Raw genomic sequence first — 17,809 nt, 5'->3', positions numbered from 1 at the left:
TTAATTTATTTTTATTCACTGTAGAGGATGAATCTATCCGGACCTGCTTGCAGACACTGGCTTTAAATGAGTTCGTTCCCAAATTCCATGCATGCTAAGCGTGGATGAAAGAAGACGTAATGTAACATGATTGTACTTTTCTTTTAGAGAGTCCCATCTATTAATACTTTTTGTCCCATTTGTAGTTGTCATGTTTGTTCTGATAAAGGATGTACTTACGCATTGGATTATGATGGGCTGGAGAGTGATCACTGGGCTCTACTTGTTTAGGGAGAAGCTCAGAGTCTGCGGGAGAGGAGATGGTGCCATCCAGCCAGGCTGGCTGTGGAGGGGATGGTTTCTCCCTCAGGGAGCTGCTTTATTCCCCCAGGCCATATTTTGTAATTAAGTGGAATTCAGGTAACATAAAATATGCCTCCCCACCCTTTTTTTTTTTTTGGGATGGAGTCTTGCTCTGTCGCCCAGGATGGAGTGCAATGATGCAATCTCGGCTCACTGCAACCTCTGCCTGCTGGGTTCAAGTGATCCTCCTGCCTCAGCCTCCCTAGTAGTCAGGATTATAGGCGCTCACCACCATACCAGGCTAATTTTTGTATTTTTGTAGTGGTGGGGTTTTGCCATGTTGGCCAGGTTGGTCTCAAACTCCTGACCAGCCTAATGAATCCCCATCTTTACTAAAAATACAAAAATTAGCTGGGCGTGGTGGTGGGCACCTGTAATCCCAGCTACTCGGGAGCCTGAGGCAGGGGAATCGCTTGAAGCCAGGAGGCTGAGGTTGTAGTGAGCTGAGATCACACCACTGCACTCCAGCCTGGGAAACAGAGCAAGACTCAGTCACAAAAAAAAAAAAAGAGAGAGAGAATTGACTTACAGGAAGCCGTAGAACTGTCAAATTTATAGATACAGAAAGGAGAGTGGTGGGTGCCAGGGTCTGGGGGAGGTGGAATGGGGAGGGAGAGTTAGGTGGGGACATTTCAGTTTGGGAAGGTGAGAAAGTTCTGGGGAGGGATGGTGGGGATGGTGGTACAACAGTGTGAATGTGCTTATGCCACTGAGCTGTAGACTTAAAAAGGGTGAAAATGGCAAATTTTATGTTATTTGCATTTTACCACAGTAAAAAAAAAAAAAAAAAAAAAGATAATTGACCTCCTAAGTGCTAGCTGACCTAAGACAGTAACCTTGCATTGTGGGATCTGTTATGTACGTAGAGGTAAACGTATGGGAACAATGGCCCCAGGACGGGAGGGAGGGAACGAGGCTCTTCCGCCACACATGAGCGCGGGTTGGGAGAGCTCAGGGTGGGCTGTGACCACCAGGACATGAAAGAGGAAGGAACAGTGACTGAGCGGCCGTGGGGACGATGCGGAATTGTAAAAAGGCACTAAATCCAGAAGTCAGGGATGGAGCAGAAGGGGAGAGAGAGCACCTGGGAAAATCAGGAAACACAGAGGGAGGGCTGCGGCGGGCACGGCCCCTTGTCGGTCATTTAGGAGGGCGCTTGGGGTTGGGGGAGGCTGCGTGCCCACAGGCAGGTCTCTGGCGCCTTGCAGACAGCCTGAGTGTCTGCTCCCTGCCCCACAGCAGCTGCTGTCTTCTATGAAATGACTTTCAGCTGTGAAGCTTGGCAGCCAGAGGACAGGATTTCTGAGTAGTGGGAAAGAATCCAGCAGGAGGACCCCGAACAGACAGGGATTCCTCAACCGGGGCATCCCAGGACCAAGGCAGCATGCAGGGTGAACCCTGGCCACACTGCCAGGCCAGCCATAGGCCTTGTTTTCTTACAAAAAGAAAACAACTTCATTATATTCTGATTGTGGTAGTAACGTCTAAAAATGCAATACACGCTTATCATAAACTAAACGTAAACTTCAGGCAGCTAGAGAGGCAAAAGGGAAACCCATTCAGAAGAAAAACTGTGTTGATATTTTGGCTTGTTTTTTCCAGATCTTTCTCTTTACATAGCCATGCTTATGTATAATTTATACAAGTAGAGTATTCTGGGGACATTTCTGGAACACAAACCTGGCCGGGTCACCTCGCTGCCAGATGGCTTCTCCAGCTTCTGTCAGCTTCAGGAAAATTGAATTCCTGAGCCCCCGACATGGGGTCCTGGCTCCCCATCATCTTCCAGCTGAGGCACAGTTGCTTCTCCAGTGAGACACACGGGGCTCCCTGTGGTGGCCCTGCCTGTATTCGTTTCCTGTGGCCGTCACCAACAAATTACTACAAACAGAGCGGCTTGACCACAGAAATTCACCCCCGCAGAGTCTGAGGCCCGAAGTCCACAATCAGGATGTAGGTGTCGGCAGGGCTGGTTCCTCTTGGAACCTCTGAGGGAGGACCTGCTCTGTGCCCCTGCAGCCTCTGGTAGCTGCCGGCCAGCTTGGCATTTGCTGGCTCTGTCTGCCTTGCTCCAGTCTCCACCTCCATCTTCACATGGCCACCTCCTTCTGTCTCTATGAAGGACGCTTGTCATTGGATTTCATGCCCTCTCAGATAATTCAGGATCTCATCACGAGATCCTTAATCACATCTGCAAGGACCCTTTTGCCACATATGGTCACATTCACAAGTTCCAGGTAGACCTATCTTCGGGGGGCCGCCATTCAACCCACAATAGCATTCTGGTGGGCGGGAGGAAGGGAGGCGTTGGGCGTCCAAGCCAGGCAGGAGGCAGCTCTGAGGCTGGAGGGGATGCCGTGAGGGGACGCTGTGTCAGCATGCAGGGGTGAGCACGTGGTGTGTTTTCCTGCTGAGAGTAGGTAGGGAGCTAGCAGCAGGCCACTCCCTTCCCAAATTGGTGCCAGGACCTCTGCAGGGCCACCTCTCCTTAGGGGCTTTGGGGCTGCTTTGTCACCCTCATTCTGGGGCTCCCTGCAGAATGGATGTGTCTGAATCTGCAGGCACATCTGAGAAAGACAGAGGAGCCGGATCGGGGAATGGATGCTTCCAACGCAGGGCTGTCATTGCCCTGTGTCCTGGGGGATGCAAAGCCTTTTTCTAGGTGAGATTTTGGGCAGCTTGTCCCTAATCTATCAGAAGCCGCCTGGCCTTACATGTGTCCCTTGGGTGTAGCAGGAGGCACTCTACAGCTTCTTCTGGCCTTGAGTTGGGCCATAGGAGACCATGGGGCTCTAGCAGGCTGAGCCTCCTCATGTGGTGGACACTGAGGCCCAGGAAAGGGCTGGGCAGTGTGTCTGTGGCTCACAGGGTCAGCAGGGTGGGGCATGGGGGTAGCCTCAGGCAGGCTGGCCTCTCATGTCACAGATGCTGGCCCCTGCAGCCCAGTCAAGCTGGTGTGAGATCCAGGTAGGCTCTGGGTGCTCCAAATCCACGGAAGCCGGAACACCTCCTGGCTGTGTGGGCAGGACCTGGCTGGATGGCCTGACTGGCCATGGGTGTGAGTGGGGTTAGGCTGTAGCCATTAGGATTGTAGGGGGATGGGGTGGATCTAGGGGGCAGGAGCCATGTTCTGAGGGAGCTGGGACAGTGCAGATGGGTGGAGGAGAGAATCTGGGGTCCCAGAGGAGGGACTCATCAGCCTCCCAGGTTCTTCCCCCACAGTGGAGAATGGTAGAAATGCAAACCAGCCACAGCTACTGGCAGTGGGGGCATTCAGCTGCCTTGGCCACTCCCTCTCTGTGGGCAGGACTCTTCCTTTGCCATCAGTGCTTATTTTAAAAGGGTAAGCTGTGTTCCTAGATTTCGGGTTGAAATTGTTAAGCTCCCTCCTCTGCTTCCCACCAGGGTGACTCTCCAGCCCAGCAGGGGAGGGGTCTGGGTGGTCTGGTCCCTCCCATCCTCATTGCCTCAGTCTTGTGCAGCTTTCTCAGTTTGGTAGGGGAGGGATCCTGTTAGACCCAGCCCTCGGAAGTGGAGCTGAGCCCTTCACGTAAATGCAGTGAACATCGAGAGCAGCACCACCGTCATCCACCGTGTTCGTTCTCCTAAGCTCCTTATGTTCTCCTAAGCTCTCCTATGTTCCTTCCTCTGAAAGCCTTTCTCTAAATAAAGTCGTCACATGGGCAGGAAAGAGGCTGCCTGGGTGGGTCTTAGGGCTTTGGAGTGACACCGTCCTGGCATGCTCTAGAAAGGCCCTGGTACTTCCCTTCTTGTGCAGCAGTGGGATGGGAGAAGGTGAGCCCTTGTGGAAAAAGGTATTTCCAAGCAGATGTGGGAGCCCTCGTTGTGCTGTTGATAGTCCATGACCTTTTTCCTTTGCCTCTAGGATTTTCTTCCATGGGGTAATTGTGCTGGGGTTGACAGTATTAGGAGTGACCTTGAGGAGCTAATTGGGAAATTGACATTGTGAGAGCTTTTAATTTGCTTCTCCTGATGGGATCCATGTTTAATATGGTCGTGATTGCCAGTTTTTATGTGTCTTGAATTTGTGTCCCGGCTTTGAAGACAATTTAGGAGAGCAGCCCCGTGGGATAAACCCTTAGGTTCGCACGGGGACTGGGGGGCAGTGTGTGCTGCGTCCTCTCCCTTGGATGAGTGCTGCATTATGGGAGCTCATTATCTGCTCAGTGGGTTCCTGCAGACCATGGGAGGCCAGCCGCCCGTCACAGGACCTGTCTTGGCTGTGTCCGAGGGTGGCGACTCCAGACACAGGGCTGCAGATCTGTGTTCAGGCAGCATGAATGTGGGGCCCTTTTCCTGTGGGCCTCCAGGGCTTCCCAGGCTCAGGGGTCCTGCTGTCCGACAGTCTTTGGCCAGGCATCGCCTTGCTGTGAAGCCCACATTCCCAATTCCTTATCGGGTAGTTCTTTCTGGAGGTGATAAGGGAGCCAGGTGATCCCTGATGCCACAGCCCGTCATGATGGCCACCATTCCCCCAGAACAGTAACTTCCCCCTTCTTTTTGTTAGGTGCTCTTTTGGCAGGAGAAGCACAGGACGCTTGTTCAACCAGTATTCCAGAACCTTCTAGAACCTCCCCACCCAAGCATCCCTGAGATCTGGGTGTGCTTAGAGGATGGCCCTGCCAAGCTCTGGCGAGGGTCCCTGCTCCCTGCCCAGGCCTCCTCTGTGCTCTCCCTGGAAAGGCAGCACTGCTCCTGGCCCCATATCCCGTGTCCGCAGCTGCTCGCCAAGTGGGGCGGCACATCCCTGACAGGCAGATTACCCCCAGGCACAGCACGAGGACAAGGACGTCACGTTCGCCTGGACTTGGGTCTCCTGCTTCCGGCCGGCAGGAGGGCAAGCAGGCCAAGTGATGGGTTCTGGCCAATGACGGGCAAGCAGAGTTGCGTCACTTCCGGCCGTGAAGCTCAGTTTCCCTTCCCAATGAGACTGAGGTGCAGAGGTGGCCCTGGCTGAGGGGATGGGTAGGGGAGAGCCACGCAGCCCTAGGCTGGACTGTGCTTCCGGGTTCCCAGTGGACTGCCAGGAGCCTTGGGGGACCCTAGGCCGCTGGTGGCGAGCTCCGGGGTGGGCCAGCCTCCTCCTGCAGGCAAACGGACTGTGGCACCGCTCTCCATCCTGGCTCAGCCCCCTCCTCCAGGGAGTGGCCCCGGCCCCGGCCCCGGCCCCGGAGTCTCCTGCAGTCTGCGGAGCCGTCCAACCCCCTGGCTGTGTCCGGAGATCTCCATTCTGGGGCCTCAGCCCTACTGCCCGTGCTACCTGACTGCCGGGGGCCAGCGGGGTTTCTTTCCAGACAAGACTGGACTAGGAGGCTGCTCCGGGAGGCGAGCTGAGGGCAGCGAGCTTGGCTGGCACCTCAGGCGGGCGGGCATGGCCTCAGCAGGCGCGCAGCGGGGTTTTACTGCTGAAAGCGCCTGTCTTAGTCTGTTTTCTGTTGCTTTAATGAAATACCTGAGACTGGGTCATTTATAAAGAAAAGGCATTTGGGTTTCTTACAGTCCTGGAGGCTGAGATGTCCCAGGTCACAGGGATGGTCTGGTGAGGGCCTCCTTGTCTGGAGGGACTCTGGAGACCCCAGGCGTCCCAGGGCATCACGTGGCTAGGGGGCTTAGGAGAGAGAGCCAAGGTAGCTTTTATGACAGCCCCGTTCTGTGATGGCTCATTGACCCTCAGTCCACAAACGGCTGGATTCATTTATGAGGACAGTCAGTCACCTCTTAAAGGCCCCACCTCTTTTTGTTTTGAGATGGAGTCTCCCTGTGTTGCCCAGGCTGGATTGCAGTGGTGAGATCTCAGCTCACCGCAACCTCCGCCTCCTTTGTTGACGCCATTCTCCTGCCTCAGCCTCCCGAGTAGCTGGGAATACAGGTGCCCGCCACCACACCCAGCTAAATTTTGTATTTTTGGTAGAGAGGAGGTTTCACCATGTTGGCCAGGCTGGTGTTGAACTCCTGACCTCAGGTGATCCACCCGCCTTGGCCTCCCAGAGTGCTGGGATTACAGACATGAGCCACTGCGTGCAGCCAGCCCCACCTCTTAATACTGTTCTTTTGGGGATTTACTTCCATGTGCATTTGGGAGGGGACATTCAAACCATAGCCCTGTCTGAGTGGAAAGCCAGCTGCTGCAGCCGTGGGAGTGAACACCAGCAGGGAAGGGAAGGGAAGAAATTGTGGGGTTTTTGGTGGGAACAGAAAAGAGACATTTGGGATTAGTCTGCAAATGGAAAATTAAATTCTGTGCTGGCTCTGCCCTGGGATGAGAGCGAGCCCGGTGCAGTGCTTGTAGGGGACCCTCAAAGACTCCGCTTTGTGAACTCAGGACCCACTGACAAAGTCAAATTGTGATTTTAACTTCCCGGAGAACCAGATGGGTCCCCTGTGAGGGCGCCTGTCTGCGGCTCTTAAGCAAGGAGCTGGGAGCACTGGAGTGGGGGTGTGAGAGGGTGTCAAGTCCCGCCTTGTGAAAGCCTGGTGTGTTTTTTGTTTTTTTTGTTTTGTGAGAAGGGAAATCTGCCCCGTGCTGTCCTGAAGAAGGCAAGCCAATGGGGCTGGAGGGAATCCATGTAGGAGGTCAGAGGTCAGCCCTGAGGGCAAAGGCTCAGATGCAGGCAGTGGGTGCCCTCTCTGCTGTCCGAAGCCTGTGGGAGGCCATGTAGGCAACCATGTAGGTCTGACCCGCTGCAGAAACAAAGGGGCGCTTTGCTGCTTGGCGTTGCTCAGGGTCCCAGCTGACAGTCCAGAGACCTAGTCTCAAATCCCAACTTTGGCAGGCCGGGGTCAGGAGACAGCAGCTCTGTAAGGGCAGCAGGTGCTCTCTCAGCGCTGGGGCTGTAAGGGCAGCAGGTGCTCTCTCAGCGCTGGGGCTGTAAGGGCAGCAGGTGCTCTCTCAGCGCTGGGGCCTGCTTCAGGTGGGTCTCACCTTTTTCTGCTGCTGTTCTTGGCCCACTCCCTTACCGTAAGTAGCCACCATACAGGCCAGGGTCATCACTGTGCTCCTCCATGGCCCAGGTCTGTCTGTCCTGAAGCCACTGACGGGAAGGGGTGGCAGCAGTGCGGGTGTATTCCCAGAGAGCCTCTGCAGTTGTGATGAGGTGGGTCCCTGAGTGACTTGGCCTTCCAGTCTGGTCCCCCTTCTCGCCAGTCCTGGGCAGGTCAGGCCAGCTAGGTTTGCTTATGCATGGCTTCAAAGGTGAGGCCTTTTACAAACTCTGTTTATCACTTTGCTGCACTCCTTGAGGGTGTACAGGATTGGTGTGTTTATGATAATCCTTAAAATCAGGACAGATGATTGCCCTACACTCCCCTCCCCCCAAGTCTAGGACCTGAGCCTGTCTCCGTCACATCTTGAAAAGGCAAGAGTTCTGTGTGACTCCTTGTGCAGAGTGGGCTGAAGCTTGGGCAGGTGTCTCACACTCCAGGTGAGTGAGGTGGCTCCTGGCCTTTGTCTTCTTTTCCTATGCTGAATTAAATAAAGATTTTTCTGAAGTAATTCAGTCATTCATTTGTTCACAAGTCTTGGCTGTGTGTTTCCATGCTCCCCCTATGATCCTGGCAGGTAAGGCTGTTTCCCTCCCCACCTACCTTCCCACCGGGCCCTGAGGGGTCGGCCCTCTGTGCTTCTGCTCCCCCACCCCATCCAGCACTCCCTCAGGAGGAGATTCCTGCTTGGGTGCTGCCTGGTCCCTTCCCCTCCTCTCGTTCTTGCTTAAACTCACTCCTGCTCCCAAACTGCATTTGTCACGGTCCTGGTGGCCTGCCTGTGCCCCCTCCAGTGGTCAGTCACAGCCCTGTCCTGGGAAACCAGGCAGCTGGAGTGACCCTGGGCAGCCCTGAGCACTTGTTCACTCCCTTGGCGGGTGGTCACTTCCCTCTGACCCTTCTTGAATAACTTAATCTGTAGGGTACAGAAGCTTTCACACTTTCCTACAAAACCAGTTTCCTCTTCGCAGATAAAGGGAATTCCTTCCAGAAAGTTTCTTCTGTCAGCAGTGCAGTCTCGGTTCCTCAGCGTTTGTCGAAGTACCCGGGGAGGAGAGGGCTCTGTGGCATTGACTTTGGCTGACAGTCCCGGGGGCCTCTTCCCTGTGGGTAGAATGTGGGAACCCAACACTGCATCTACTCTGTGTACCCCAGTCCAAAAATCACTCTGCCTGTGTGGGACATGTGCCCTACCCTCTTGCCTGTCTTCCTCAAGGCCCTTCTTTGCAGAACAGCCCCAGTGGAGACACTTCAGGGTGATGGGGACATCTTAGGTCATCAGGGCATCATTGAGAGAGACTGTGAGTGATGACCCTGTGTGACGACCTCATTTTCTCCAGTCTTGTGAAAGAATGGCTCCTGGAGATGGCTCCTGGAGAGCGAGTGTCTGTAACACACGCCAGCGACACCACACACAGAGAAAGGCCCTTAGCCTTGTCTGTCAGGGTCTCTTAGGAATAGAATATTCTAGATCTGTGGAAGGCCTGCTGGAAAATCCCAACCAATGTGAAGCGTACCTCCTCCTTCCAGTGTGTGGCCTGCCATTCACTCCAGTCTGCACTGATGGTGCCAAGGCTTTGACACTTGAAGCGTGATATGAAAAGATAAAGGCATTTTAACAGAAGATACCGGGTCAGTGGAGGTGACCGAAAGCAGCATTTGATTCCCCAGGTCATCCTGGGCATTGGGATAAGTGCGCTGCCACTAAGGGAAAGGAGTATTAGTCTGTTTTCACGCTGCTGATAAAGACATACCTGAGACTAGGAAGAAAAAGAGGTTTAATTAGACTTGTAGTTCCACGTGGCTGTGGGGCAGGGGGCACCTCAGAATCATGGCGGAAGGCAAAAGGCACTTCCTGCGTGGAGGTGGCAAGAGAAAAATGAGGAAGATGCAAAAGTGAAAACCCCTGATAAAACCATCAGATCTCGTGAGACTTAGTCACCACCATGAGAACAGTATGGGGGAACCACCCCTATGATTCAATTACCTCCCACCAGGTCCCTCCCACAACATGTGAGAATTATGGGAGTACAATTCAAGATGAGATTTGGGTGGAGACACAGCCAAACCTTATAATTCCGTCCCTGGCCCCTTCAAATCTCATGTCCTCACATTTCAAAACCAATCATGCTTTCCCAACAGTCCCTGTTATGGCTTGGCTGTTTCCCCGCCAAAGTCGCAACTTGAATTATATCTCCCAGAATTCCCACATGTTGTGAGAGGGACCCAGGGGGAGGTAACTGAATCATGGGGGCTGGCCTTTCCCATGCTTTTCTCGTGATAGTGAATAAGTCTCAGGAGATCTCATGGGTTTATCAGGGGTTTCTGCTTTTGCTTCTTCCTCATTTTCTCCTGCTGCTGCCGTGTAAGAAGTGCCTTTTGCCTCCTGCCGTGATTCTGAGGCCTCCCCAGCCATATGGAACTGTAAGTCCAATTAAACCTCTTTTTCTTCCCAGTCTCCAGCGTGTCTTTATCAGCAGCCTAAAAATGGACTAATACAGTCCCCCAAAATCTTAACTCATTTCAGCATTAACCCAAAAGTCCACAGTCAAAAGTCTCATCTAAGACAAGGCAAGTACCCTTCTGCCTATGAGTCTGTAAAATCAAAAGCAAGCTAGTTACTTCCTAGATACAATGGGGGTACAGGTATTGGGTACATATAGCCATTCCAAATGGGAGAAATTAGTCAAAACAAAGGGGTTACAGGGCCCATGCAAGTCCGAAATCCAGCGGGACAGTCAAATCTTAAAGCTCCAAAATGATCTCCTTTGACTCCAGGTCTCACATCCAGGTCACCCTGGTGCAAGAGGTGGGTTCCCATCGTCTTGGGCAGCTCCACCCCTGTGACTTTGCAGGGTACAGCCTCCCTCCCAGCTGCTTTCACAGGCTGGCATTGAGTGTCTACAGCTTTTCCAGGCAAATGGTGCAAGCTGTTGGTGGATCTACCATTCTGGGGTCTGAAGGACGGTGGCCCTCTTCTCACAGCTCCACTAGGTGGTGCCCAGTAGGGACTCTGTGTGGGGGCTCCAACCCCACATTTCCCTTCCACACTGCCCTAGCAGAGGTTCTCCATGAGTGCCCCACCCCTGCAGCAAACTTCTGCCTGGGGATCCAGGTGTTTCCATGCATCCTCTGAAATCTAGTGGAGGTTCCCAAACCCTCATTGTTGACTTCTGTGCACTCGCAGGCTCAACACCATGTGGAAGCTGCCAAGGCTTGGGGCTTGCACCCTCTGAAGCCATGGCCTGAGTTCTGCATTGACCCCTTTCAGCCATGGCTGGAGCAGCTGGGACACAGGGCACCAAGTCCCTAGGCTGCACACAGCACAGGGACCCTGGGCCTGGCCCATGAAACCATTTTCCCCTAGGCCTCTGGGCTTGTGGTAGGAGGGGCTGCCCTGAAGACCTCTGACATGCTTTGGAGACATTTTCCCAGTTGTCTTGGGGATTAACGTTCAGCTCCTCATTACTTAAGCAAATTTCTGCAGCTGGCTTGAATTTCTCCTCAGAAAATGGGTTTTTCTCTTCTATCACATTGTCACAGCTGGATGCAGTGGCTCACGCCTATAATCCCAGCACTTTGGGAGGCTGAGGTGGGAAGATCATTTGAGGTCAGGAGCTTGAGACCAGCCTGGCCAATACGGTGGAACCCCATCTCTACTAAAAATACAAAAATTAGCCGGGCATGGTGGTGCGTGCCTGTAGTCCCAGCTACTCAGGAGGCTGAGTCAGGAGAATTGCTTGAACCTGGGAAGCAGAGGTTGCAGTCAGCCAAGGTCACACCATTGCACTCCAGCCTGGGTGTCACAGCGAGACTCTGTCTCAAAAACAACAACAACAACAAAAACTGTCAGGCTGCAAATTTTCCGAATTTTTATGCTTGGCTTCCCTTATAAAACTGAATGCCTTTAACAGCACCCAAGTCACTTCTTGAATGCTTTGCTTCTTAGAAATTTCTTCCCGCAGATACCCTAAATCATCCCTCTCAAGTTCAGAGTTCCACAAATCTCTAGGGCAGGGGCAAAATGCTGCCAGTCTCTTCGCTAAAACATAACAAGGGTCACTTTTGCTTCAGTTCCCAACAAGTTCCTCATCTCCACCTGAGACCACCTCAGCCTGGACCTTATTGTCCATGTTGCTATCAGGCATCTGGTCAAAGCCATTCAACAAGTCTCTAGGAAGTTCCAAATTTTCCCACATTTTCCTGTCTTCTTCTGAGCCCTCCAAACTGTTCCAACTTCTGCCTGTTATTCTCTTCCAAAGTTGCTTCCACATTTTCGGATATCTTTTCAGCAATACCCCACTGTACTGGTACCAATTTACTGTATTAGTCCATTTTCACCCTGCTGATAAAGACATACCTGAGACTGGGATGAAAAAGAGGTTTAATTGGACTTACAGTTCCACATGGCTGGGGAGGCCTCCGAATCACAGCAGGAGGCAAAAGGCACTTCTTACATGGCAGTGGCAAGAGAAAAATGAGGAAGATGCAAAAGCGAAAACCCCTGATAAAACCATCAGTCCTTGTGAGACTTATTCACACGAGAACAGTATGGGGGAAATCACCCCCATGATTCAAATTATCTCCCACTGGGTCCCTCCCACAACACGTGGGAATTACGAGAGTATAATTCAAGATGAGATTTGGGTGGGGACACAGCCAAAACATATCAAAAGGTGGCCCACAGGACCAAGGAGCGGACAATGCCAATGACAAATCCTTCAAACCAGGTGGTTTCTGCTGCTTTGACTTCAATAAAATTGAAGAAGGACTTGGTTGAGTTGCAGCTGACAGGGCGTTAAGAATGACTTTTGGTCATGAAGCAATGATTCTTAGCCGATAACTCGGCAGTTGTTCTTGGAGTGGCAGGAAGTTCCTCTATTGCTCTCCCCGCTCCTGCTAACTCAGCCATGAGAGCAGGTTTCTTGGCACTTACCTAAGTCAAAACGCAGGAACAGCATTGCAGCTGAGGCCAGCCTACTTTGGCAACTAGTGAGTTACCCAAAGAGACAACAGCTAGTCAGAAAACCCCGGATGCATCCACCCCATCAAGAACTACATTTCTATGAGACACCTTTCTGTGAAATGATGGTGTACCAAGATGTGTCACATGTTTATGTTGTTTGATCGATTGTATACTAATACTATTAGGTTGTTGCAAAAGTAATTGCAGTGTCTACATTGTCGACTCAGTGCAGAGAAAATGCTAACACTCAGTGCCTCACAGAAAATTTAAAAATTTGACCAGCCTGGGCAACATGGCAAAACCCCATCTCTACTAAAAATGCAAAAATTAGCTGGGTACTGTGGCTCATGGCTGTAATCCCAGATACTTGGGAGGCTGAGGCACAAGAATTGCTTGAACCCGGGAGATGGAAGCCGCAGTGAGCTGAGATTGTGCGACTGCACTCCAGCCTGGGTGACAGAGAAAGACTCTGTCTCAAAAAAAAAAGTGTGAAAATTTAAAAATTTAAATCCCATTTATAGATTTATAAATATGTAATATTGATATATATGTTGTAGAAAAATTTGATAGATGATCAGTAAGGACTTTGAAGCATAGAAATGTATCCCATGAGGATAAAATTACAGGAGGGAGGTGGGGTGGCAATGTGAATTCGAGTTGGCAGAGGTGCGCGTGCCATCTCTGCACAGGAGGAGTCCTGCCCTATTTATTAAGGAGGGGCAGTCAGATGGGGGCGATTTGTCGTCCAGGAGTGATGGGCCAATTTTGTTGCTAAATGTCAATGATTATAATGTGCTGACAATCTGAGCCTCTACATTCTTGTGAACTTCAGCCGAACATTTTAGCTGTCAGCTTGGTTTTTCCTGATTCTGTTAAGAGGAGAGAGCTTTAAATTTGAGGTCCTGGCATAGGGGGACAGCTCCTGGCCTGGGAGGGCCGAGAATCCTTGCACTGCCCACCTGCTCCCGGGTCTGACAGAAGATGGGATTCTGAGATTTCCTTTTCTTGGTAGATGAGGAAACTGTAAGTCCCTCCCATTGCTTTCTTTGATTGTTGAGGGCTCTGTCTCTCCCTGGAGCGGTCCCCCCAATGCCCACACCTCCTTGCTCTCTGGCACGGGTTCTGCTGCCAGCATGGTGCAGACTGGGGGGCTTGGCCACTCTCAGATGCTGTCTGTCCATGTGACCAGCCCCCGTCTACCCCCTGCTGTCATGAGACAGCCAGGCCCCTGGAGTTCTGGACACCTTCCCAGTGGCTCACCAGGATGCCTGGAGCCCAGAAACATCCAGGTGCAGATGTACCCCATAGAGGAAGAGCCCTCTGCTCAGAGCCTCTGGCACCAGCTTCCACCCTTGTGGGAGTCTAAGGTGGTTTGGGAAGGGGCAGGTGGACCTTGATTCTGATTTGGCTTCAGTTTGCCTCTTCTTTCTTTGGGAATAATCAAGATCTGTGGCAGGCCCTGGGAGAATGAAAGGCTGGGTATCGGGTCTGAAACAAAAACAAGTAGTCGTTTTGGCTGGCTCCAAAATTCGTGGTTGGGTGGGTGGATGGAGCAGGGGTGGATCAATACCTAGTCTCAATCCAGGAAAGCAGTACAGAGGAAATGACAGGGTGCTGCCTCACAGTCCACAGGAGGACCAGCCCCAGCCGGGAGTCGGGCAGCTTCCCTAAGAAAGAAGGAAAAAGCATCAAAGTTCAGTGGAGAAGTTCCAAAAAGTGTCTCATAGGAGTCCCAGGGAGAGAGTGGAGAGGAAAGAATGATGGAAAAGCTGTATTTGAAGAAATGGTAGCTGAATTTCCCAGTATTGAAGAAAGACATGAGTTCTGAGATAAAAGGAGTTCCAAGTAGGATAAAGAAATGTGCAGTCATGGGCCATGTGACAGGCCACATATACAATGGTGGTCCCATAAGTTATGATAACGATATTTTTTTATTTTTTTGAGACAGGGTCTTGCTCCGTCACCCAGGTTGGAGTGTGGTAGTGTGATCTCAGTTCCCTGCAACTTCCGCCTCCCGGGTTCAAGCAATTCTTACGCCTCAGCCTCCCCGGCAGCTGGGACTGCAGGCGTGCACTACCGTGCCTGGTTAATTTTTGCATTTTTAGTAGAGATGGGGTTTTCACCATGTTGGCCAGGCTGGTCTCGAACTCCTGACCTCAAATGATCCGCCCGCTTCAGCCTCCCAAAGTGCTGGGATTACAGGCGTGAGCCACCGCGCCCAGCCTGTTAGGATAACCGTATTTGACTGTACCTATTCTGTTTAGGTACACGAATACTTCCCATTGTGTTACAGTTGTCTACAGTATACTGTTCAGCACAGTAACGTGCTGTGCAGGTTTGTGGCCCAGGAGCAACAGGCTCTACCATGTAGCCTAGGTCTGTCGGAGGCGGGGTCATCTAGGCTTGTGGAAGTCCATTCTCTGATGTTTGCACAATAATGAAGTCAATTGACAACACCGTTCTGAGAACATATTCACATCGTTCAGAAATACCTGGGAGTAAATCCACACTGAGATGTATTGTGGTAAAGCTGCAGAATGTCAAAGATGAAGAGAATCTTTAGAATTAACAGAAAAGACAGAGTAACTACGAGAAATGGAAAAAGCCCCGCAGGTTTCTTCTCAGCAACCCCAAGTGCCGCAAGATAGAGAATGAGCCCACAGTGCGGCGGGAAGGCGACTGGCAGCCCCGAATTTTAGACCCAAATGAACTGCTAGTGAAGGGGCAGAAGGCAAGATGAAGACATTTTTCAGGCAAACATTTTTAACCATTTACAGATGCTCGTTGTAACATTTCCTATTATAAGATGTACATCAGCAAGAAAAGGGAACTCGGAGGAAAGATGATGGGATAAAAGAAACAGCTGCAAGGGTGGAAACTGATAAAATGTCAGCGAGTTTAGCTCATAATTGTTTAAGAAATTATGTGTGTCCTAAAATAGAGATAAAAGTAAAGCCCTAGGCCGGGCGCAGTGGCTCAACGCCTGTAATTCCAGCACTTTGGGAGGCCGAGGCGGGCGGATCACAAGGTCAGGAGATCGAGACCATCCTGGCTAACACGGCAAAACCCTGTCTGTACTAAAAATACAAAAAATTAGCTGGGCGTGGTAGCGGGCGCCTGTAATCCCAGCTACTCGGGAGGCTGAGGCAGGAGAATGGCGTGAACCCGGGAGGTGGAGCTTGCAGTGAGCCAAGATCGCGCCACTGCACTCCAGCCTGGGTGACAGAGCGAGACTCCGTCTCAGAAAAAAAAAAAAAGTAAAGTCTTAGACCAGTGCTGTCCAATAGAAATAGGATGTGAGAGCTTTGGGTGCAAGCAACACGTATACACTTTTATTTTATTTATTTATTTTTTTTGAGACAGGGTCTCGCTCTGTTGCCTGGGCTGGTGTACAGTGGTGCAATCTTGGCTCACTGCAGCCTAAACCTCCTGGGCTCAAGGAATTCTTCCATCTTAGCCTCCCAAGTAGCTGGGACCATAGGGTCATGTCACCATACCCAGTGATATGGTTTGGCTTTGTGTCCCCACCCAAATCTCATCTTGAATTGTAATCCCATAATCCCCACATGTCGTGGGAGGGACTTGATGGGACGTAATTGAATCAAGGGGGCAGTTCCCCCCATGCTCGTCTCATGACAGTGAGTGAATTCTCAGGAGATCTGATGGTTTTATAAGCGTCTGGCATTTCCCCTGCTGGCACTCACTCTCTCTCCTGCTGCCCTGTGAAGAGGTACCTTCTGCATGGTTGTAAGTTCCCTGAGGCCTCCCCAGCCATGCAGAACTGTGAGTCAGTTAAACCCCCTTCCTTTGCAAATTACCCAGTCTCAGGTATTTCTTCATAACAGTGTGAGAATGGACTAATACATCTGGCGAATTTAAAAACTTTTTTTTTTTTTTTTTTTTTTTTTTTAGAGATAGGGTCTCACTATGTTGCCCAGGCTGGTCTCAAACTCCTGGGCTCAAATGATCCTCCCACCTCAGCCACCCAAAGTGCTGGGATTATAAGTCTGAGCCACTGTGCCTGGCCAATTTGAAATTTTCTAGTAGCCACATTAAAAAAAAAAAGTAAAAGAAACAGGTGAAATTAATTTTAATAATATTTTATTTGGGGCCAGGCACGGTGGCTCATGCCTGTAATCCCAGCACTTTGGGAGGCCGAGGCGGGCGGATCACGAAGTCAAGAGATTGAGACCATCCTGGCCAACATGGTGAAACCTCGTCTCTACTAAAAATACAAAAAATTAGCCAGGCGTGGTGGCAGGCGCCTGTAATCACAGCTACTTGGGAGGCTGAGGCAGGAGAATCACTTGAACCCAGGAGGCAGAGGTTGCAGTGAGCCAAGATTGTGCCATTGCACTCCAGCCTGGGCAAAAAGAGCGAAACTCCATCTCAAAAAAAAAAAAATTATTTGACCAGAATATTGTTTTAACATATAATCAATATGAAAACTATGAGATCTTGCACATTCATGGTGAACTCTGAAATCTGGGGCTCCAATCGCCCCACATGGTAGGGTTAGAAGGGAGGGGTGGAGGCTGTCAGTGGGATGCCCCTTGTGTGTGGGGCGGTGCTTTCTCAGCCTGTGATAAGAGGTGGGGGCGGCACAGTCCTGTGTCCCGCCCCCAGGGCAGGCGCCACGTCGTTTCCTCTCCTCCTGGTCCATGGAGGAGTTGAGGGGTTAGTGTGTGGGGCAAGCTACCTCCTCACACCGTCCTTTAGCACAAGCAAATGCAGTGAGCTCAGCCGCTGCTCATTCTTGTCAGTGGGCATGAGCCAGCACCTGGCTGGGTGTGGATTCATTCAGTTTGGTCACCAAGTCGTGACTTTATCTGGGGGTCACAGTGTGAGCCACTGCTGTCCAGCAGGGGGAAGAGCCCGGCAGAACCCTTGGGGAGGTACCGGGGCCTCCTTCGATGCTGGCCCGGCTGATTGACCCTGGGTGATTTGGGCCTTGTTAGAACTTAACCCCCTACTGATGCAAAGTTGCTTAAAATCAGTTGGAATGACTTAATTATAACATTTTCCTGTAAAAAGAGGGCTTGAGGATAAGAAGAGAAAGCCACCTTCCCCGAGGCTGCGGGGAAAAGCTTTCTTGGAAAAGCCACGGTGGCTCCGCATTTTGCCACAGCAGCAGGGAGGGAAGGGGACGTGAGCCCAGGGGCCAGTGCCTGGGAAAGGCCACGGCACTTTCAGAGCTTTGTACTGGAGGTCTGAACTGCTGTTCATATCATCTGAGTTTACACTTTCATAAGCAGTAGAGAAAGACAAGGACTTAGGAGGATTCTGTCTGGAACCTCAGGGTCTTCCACAGGAGGACTGGGCTCTGTCCTTATCCACGGGCACCAGGTGCCAACAGGGGACATGGTCATCACATGCTGCTGAGCCACAAACCCACCGAGGAGGAGCCGAATGTGGCATGTGGGGCTGGGTACAAAGATATGTCCTAAGAACTTTCTAGAAAGAACATCAAGTTTCTGCCCAAAGGTGGGGAGATGAGGC

General features: G+C 51.5%; 1 protein-coding gene across 4 annotated transcripts in view, besides 5 other annotated features; it reads left to right on the top strand.

The window, feature by feature from the left end:
• Positions 1-17,809, top strand: part of ZFYVE28 (zinc finger FYVE-type containing 28) — a 149,049-nt gene that overhangs the window by 26,054 nt on the left and 105,186 nt on the right. The gene's annotated exons all lie outside the window — the stretch shown is intronic.
• Positions 934-1,666: an enhancer, noted in NCBI's record as "H3K27ac-H3K4me1 hESC enhancer chr4:2392653-2393385 (GRCh37/hg19 assembly coordinates)". NCBI's record gives its function as "activates a minimal SCP1, AML or CMV promoter by ChIP-STARR-seq in naive H9 embryonic stem cells {active_cell/tissue: H9 hESC(naive)}" and the evidence as "EXISTENCE:reporter gene assay evidence [ECO:0000049][PMID:30033119]".
• Positions 1,667-2,400: an enhancer, noted in NCBI's record as "H3K27ac-H3K4me1 hESC enhancer chr4:2391919-2392652 (GRCh37/hg19 assembly coordinates)". NCBI's record gives its function as "activates a minimal SCP1, AML or CMV promoter by ChIP-STARR-seq in naive H9 embryonic stem cells {active_cell/tissue: H9 hESC(naive)}" and the evidence as "EXISTENCE:reporter gene assay evidence [ECO:0000049][PMID:30033119]".
• Positions 2,401-3,134: an enhancer, noted in NCBI's record as "H3K27ac-H3K4me1 hESC enhancer chr4:2391185-2391918 (GRCh37/hg19 assembly coordinates)". NCBI's record gives its function as "activates a minimal SCP1, AML or CMV promoter by ChIP-STARR-seq in primed H9 embryonic stem cells {active_cell/tissue: H9 hESC(primed)}" and the evidence as "EXISTENCE:reporter gene assay evidence [ECO:0000049][PMID:30033119]".
• Positions 3,135-3,869: an enhancer, noted in NCBI's record as "H3K27ac-H3K4me1 hESC enhancer chr4:2390450-2391184 (GRCh37/hg19 assembly coordinates)". NCBI's record gives its function as "activates a minimal SCP1, AML or CMV promoter by ChIP-STARR-seq in primed H9 embryonic stem cells {active_cell/tissue: H9 hESC(primed)}" and the evidence as "EXISTENCE:reporter gene assay evidence [ECO:0000049][PMID:30033119]".
• Positions 5,095-5,609: an enhancer, noted in NCBI's record as "H3K4me1 hESC enhancer chr4:2388710-2389224 (GRCh37/hg19 assembly coordinates)". NCBI's record gives its function as "activates a minimal SCP1, AML or CMV promoter by ChIP-STARR-seq in naive H9 embryonic stem cells {active_cell/tissue: H9 hESC(naive)}" and the evidence as "EXISTENCE:reporter gene assay evidence [ECO:0000049][PMID:30033119]".

Source organism: Homo sapiens, chromosome 4 (genome assembly GCF_000001405.40).
Source record: "Homo sapiens chromosome 4, GRCh38.p14 Primary Assembly".
In the NCBI taxonomy this organism is placed as follows: domain Eukaryota; kingdom Metazoa; phylum Chordata; class Mammalia; order Primates; family Hominidae; genus Homo; species Homo sapiens.
Note: the sequence above shows the minus strand (reverse complement) of the source record. Positions and strands in the feature narration are given on the sequence as shown.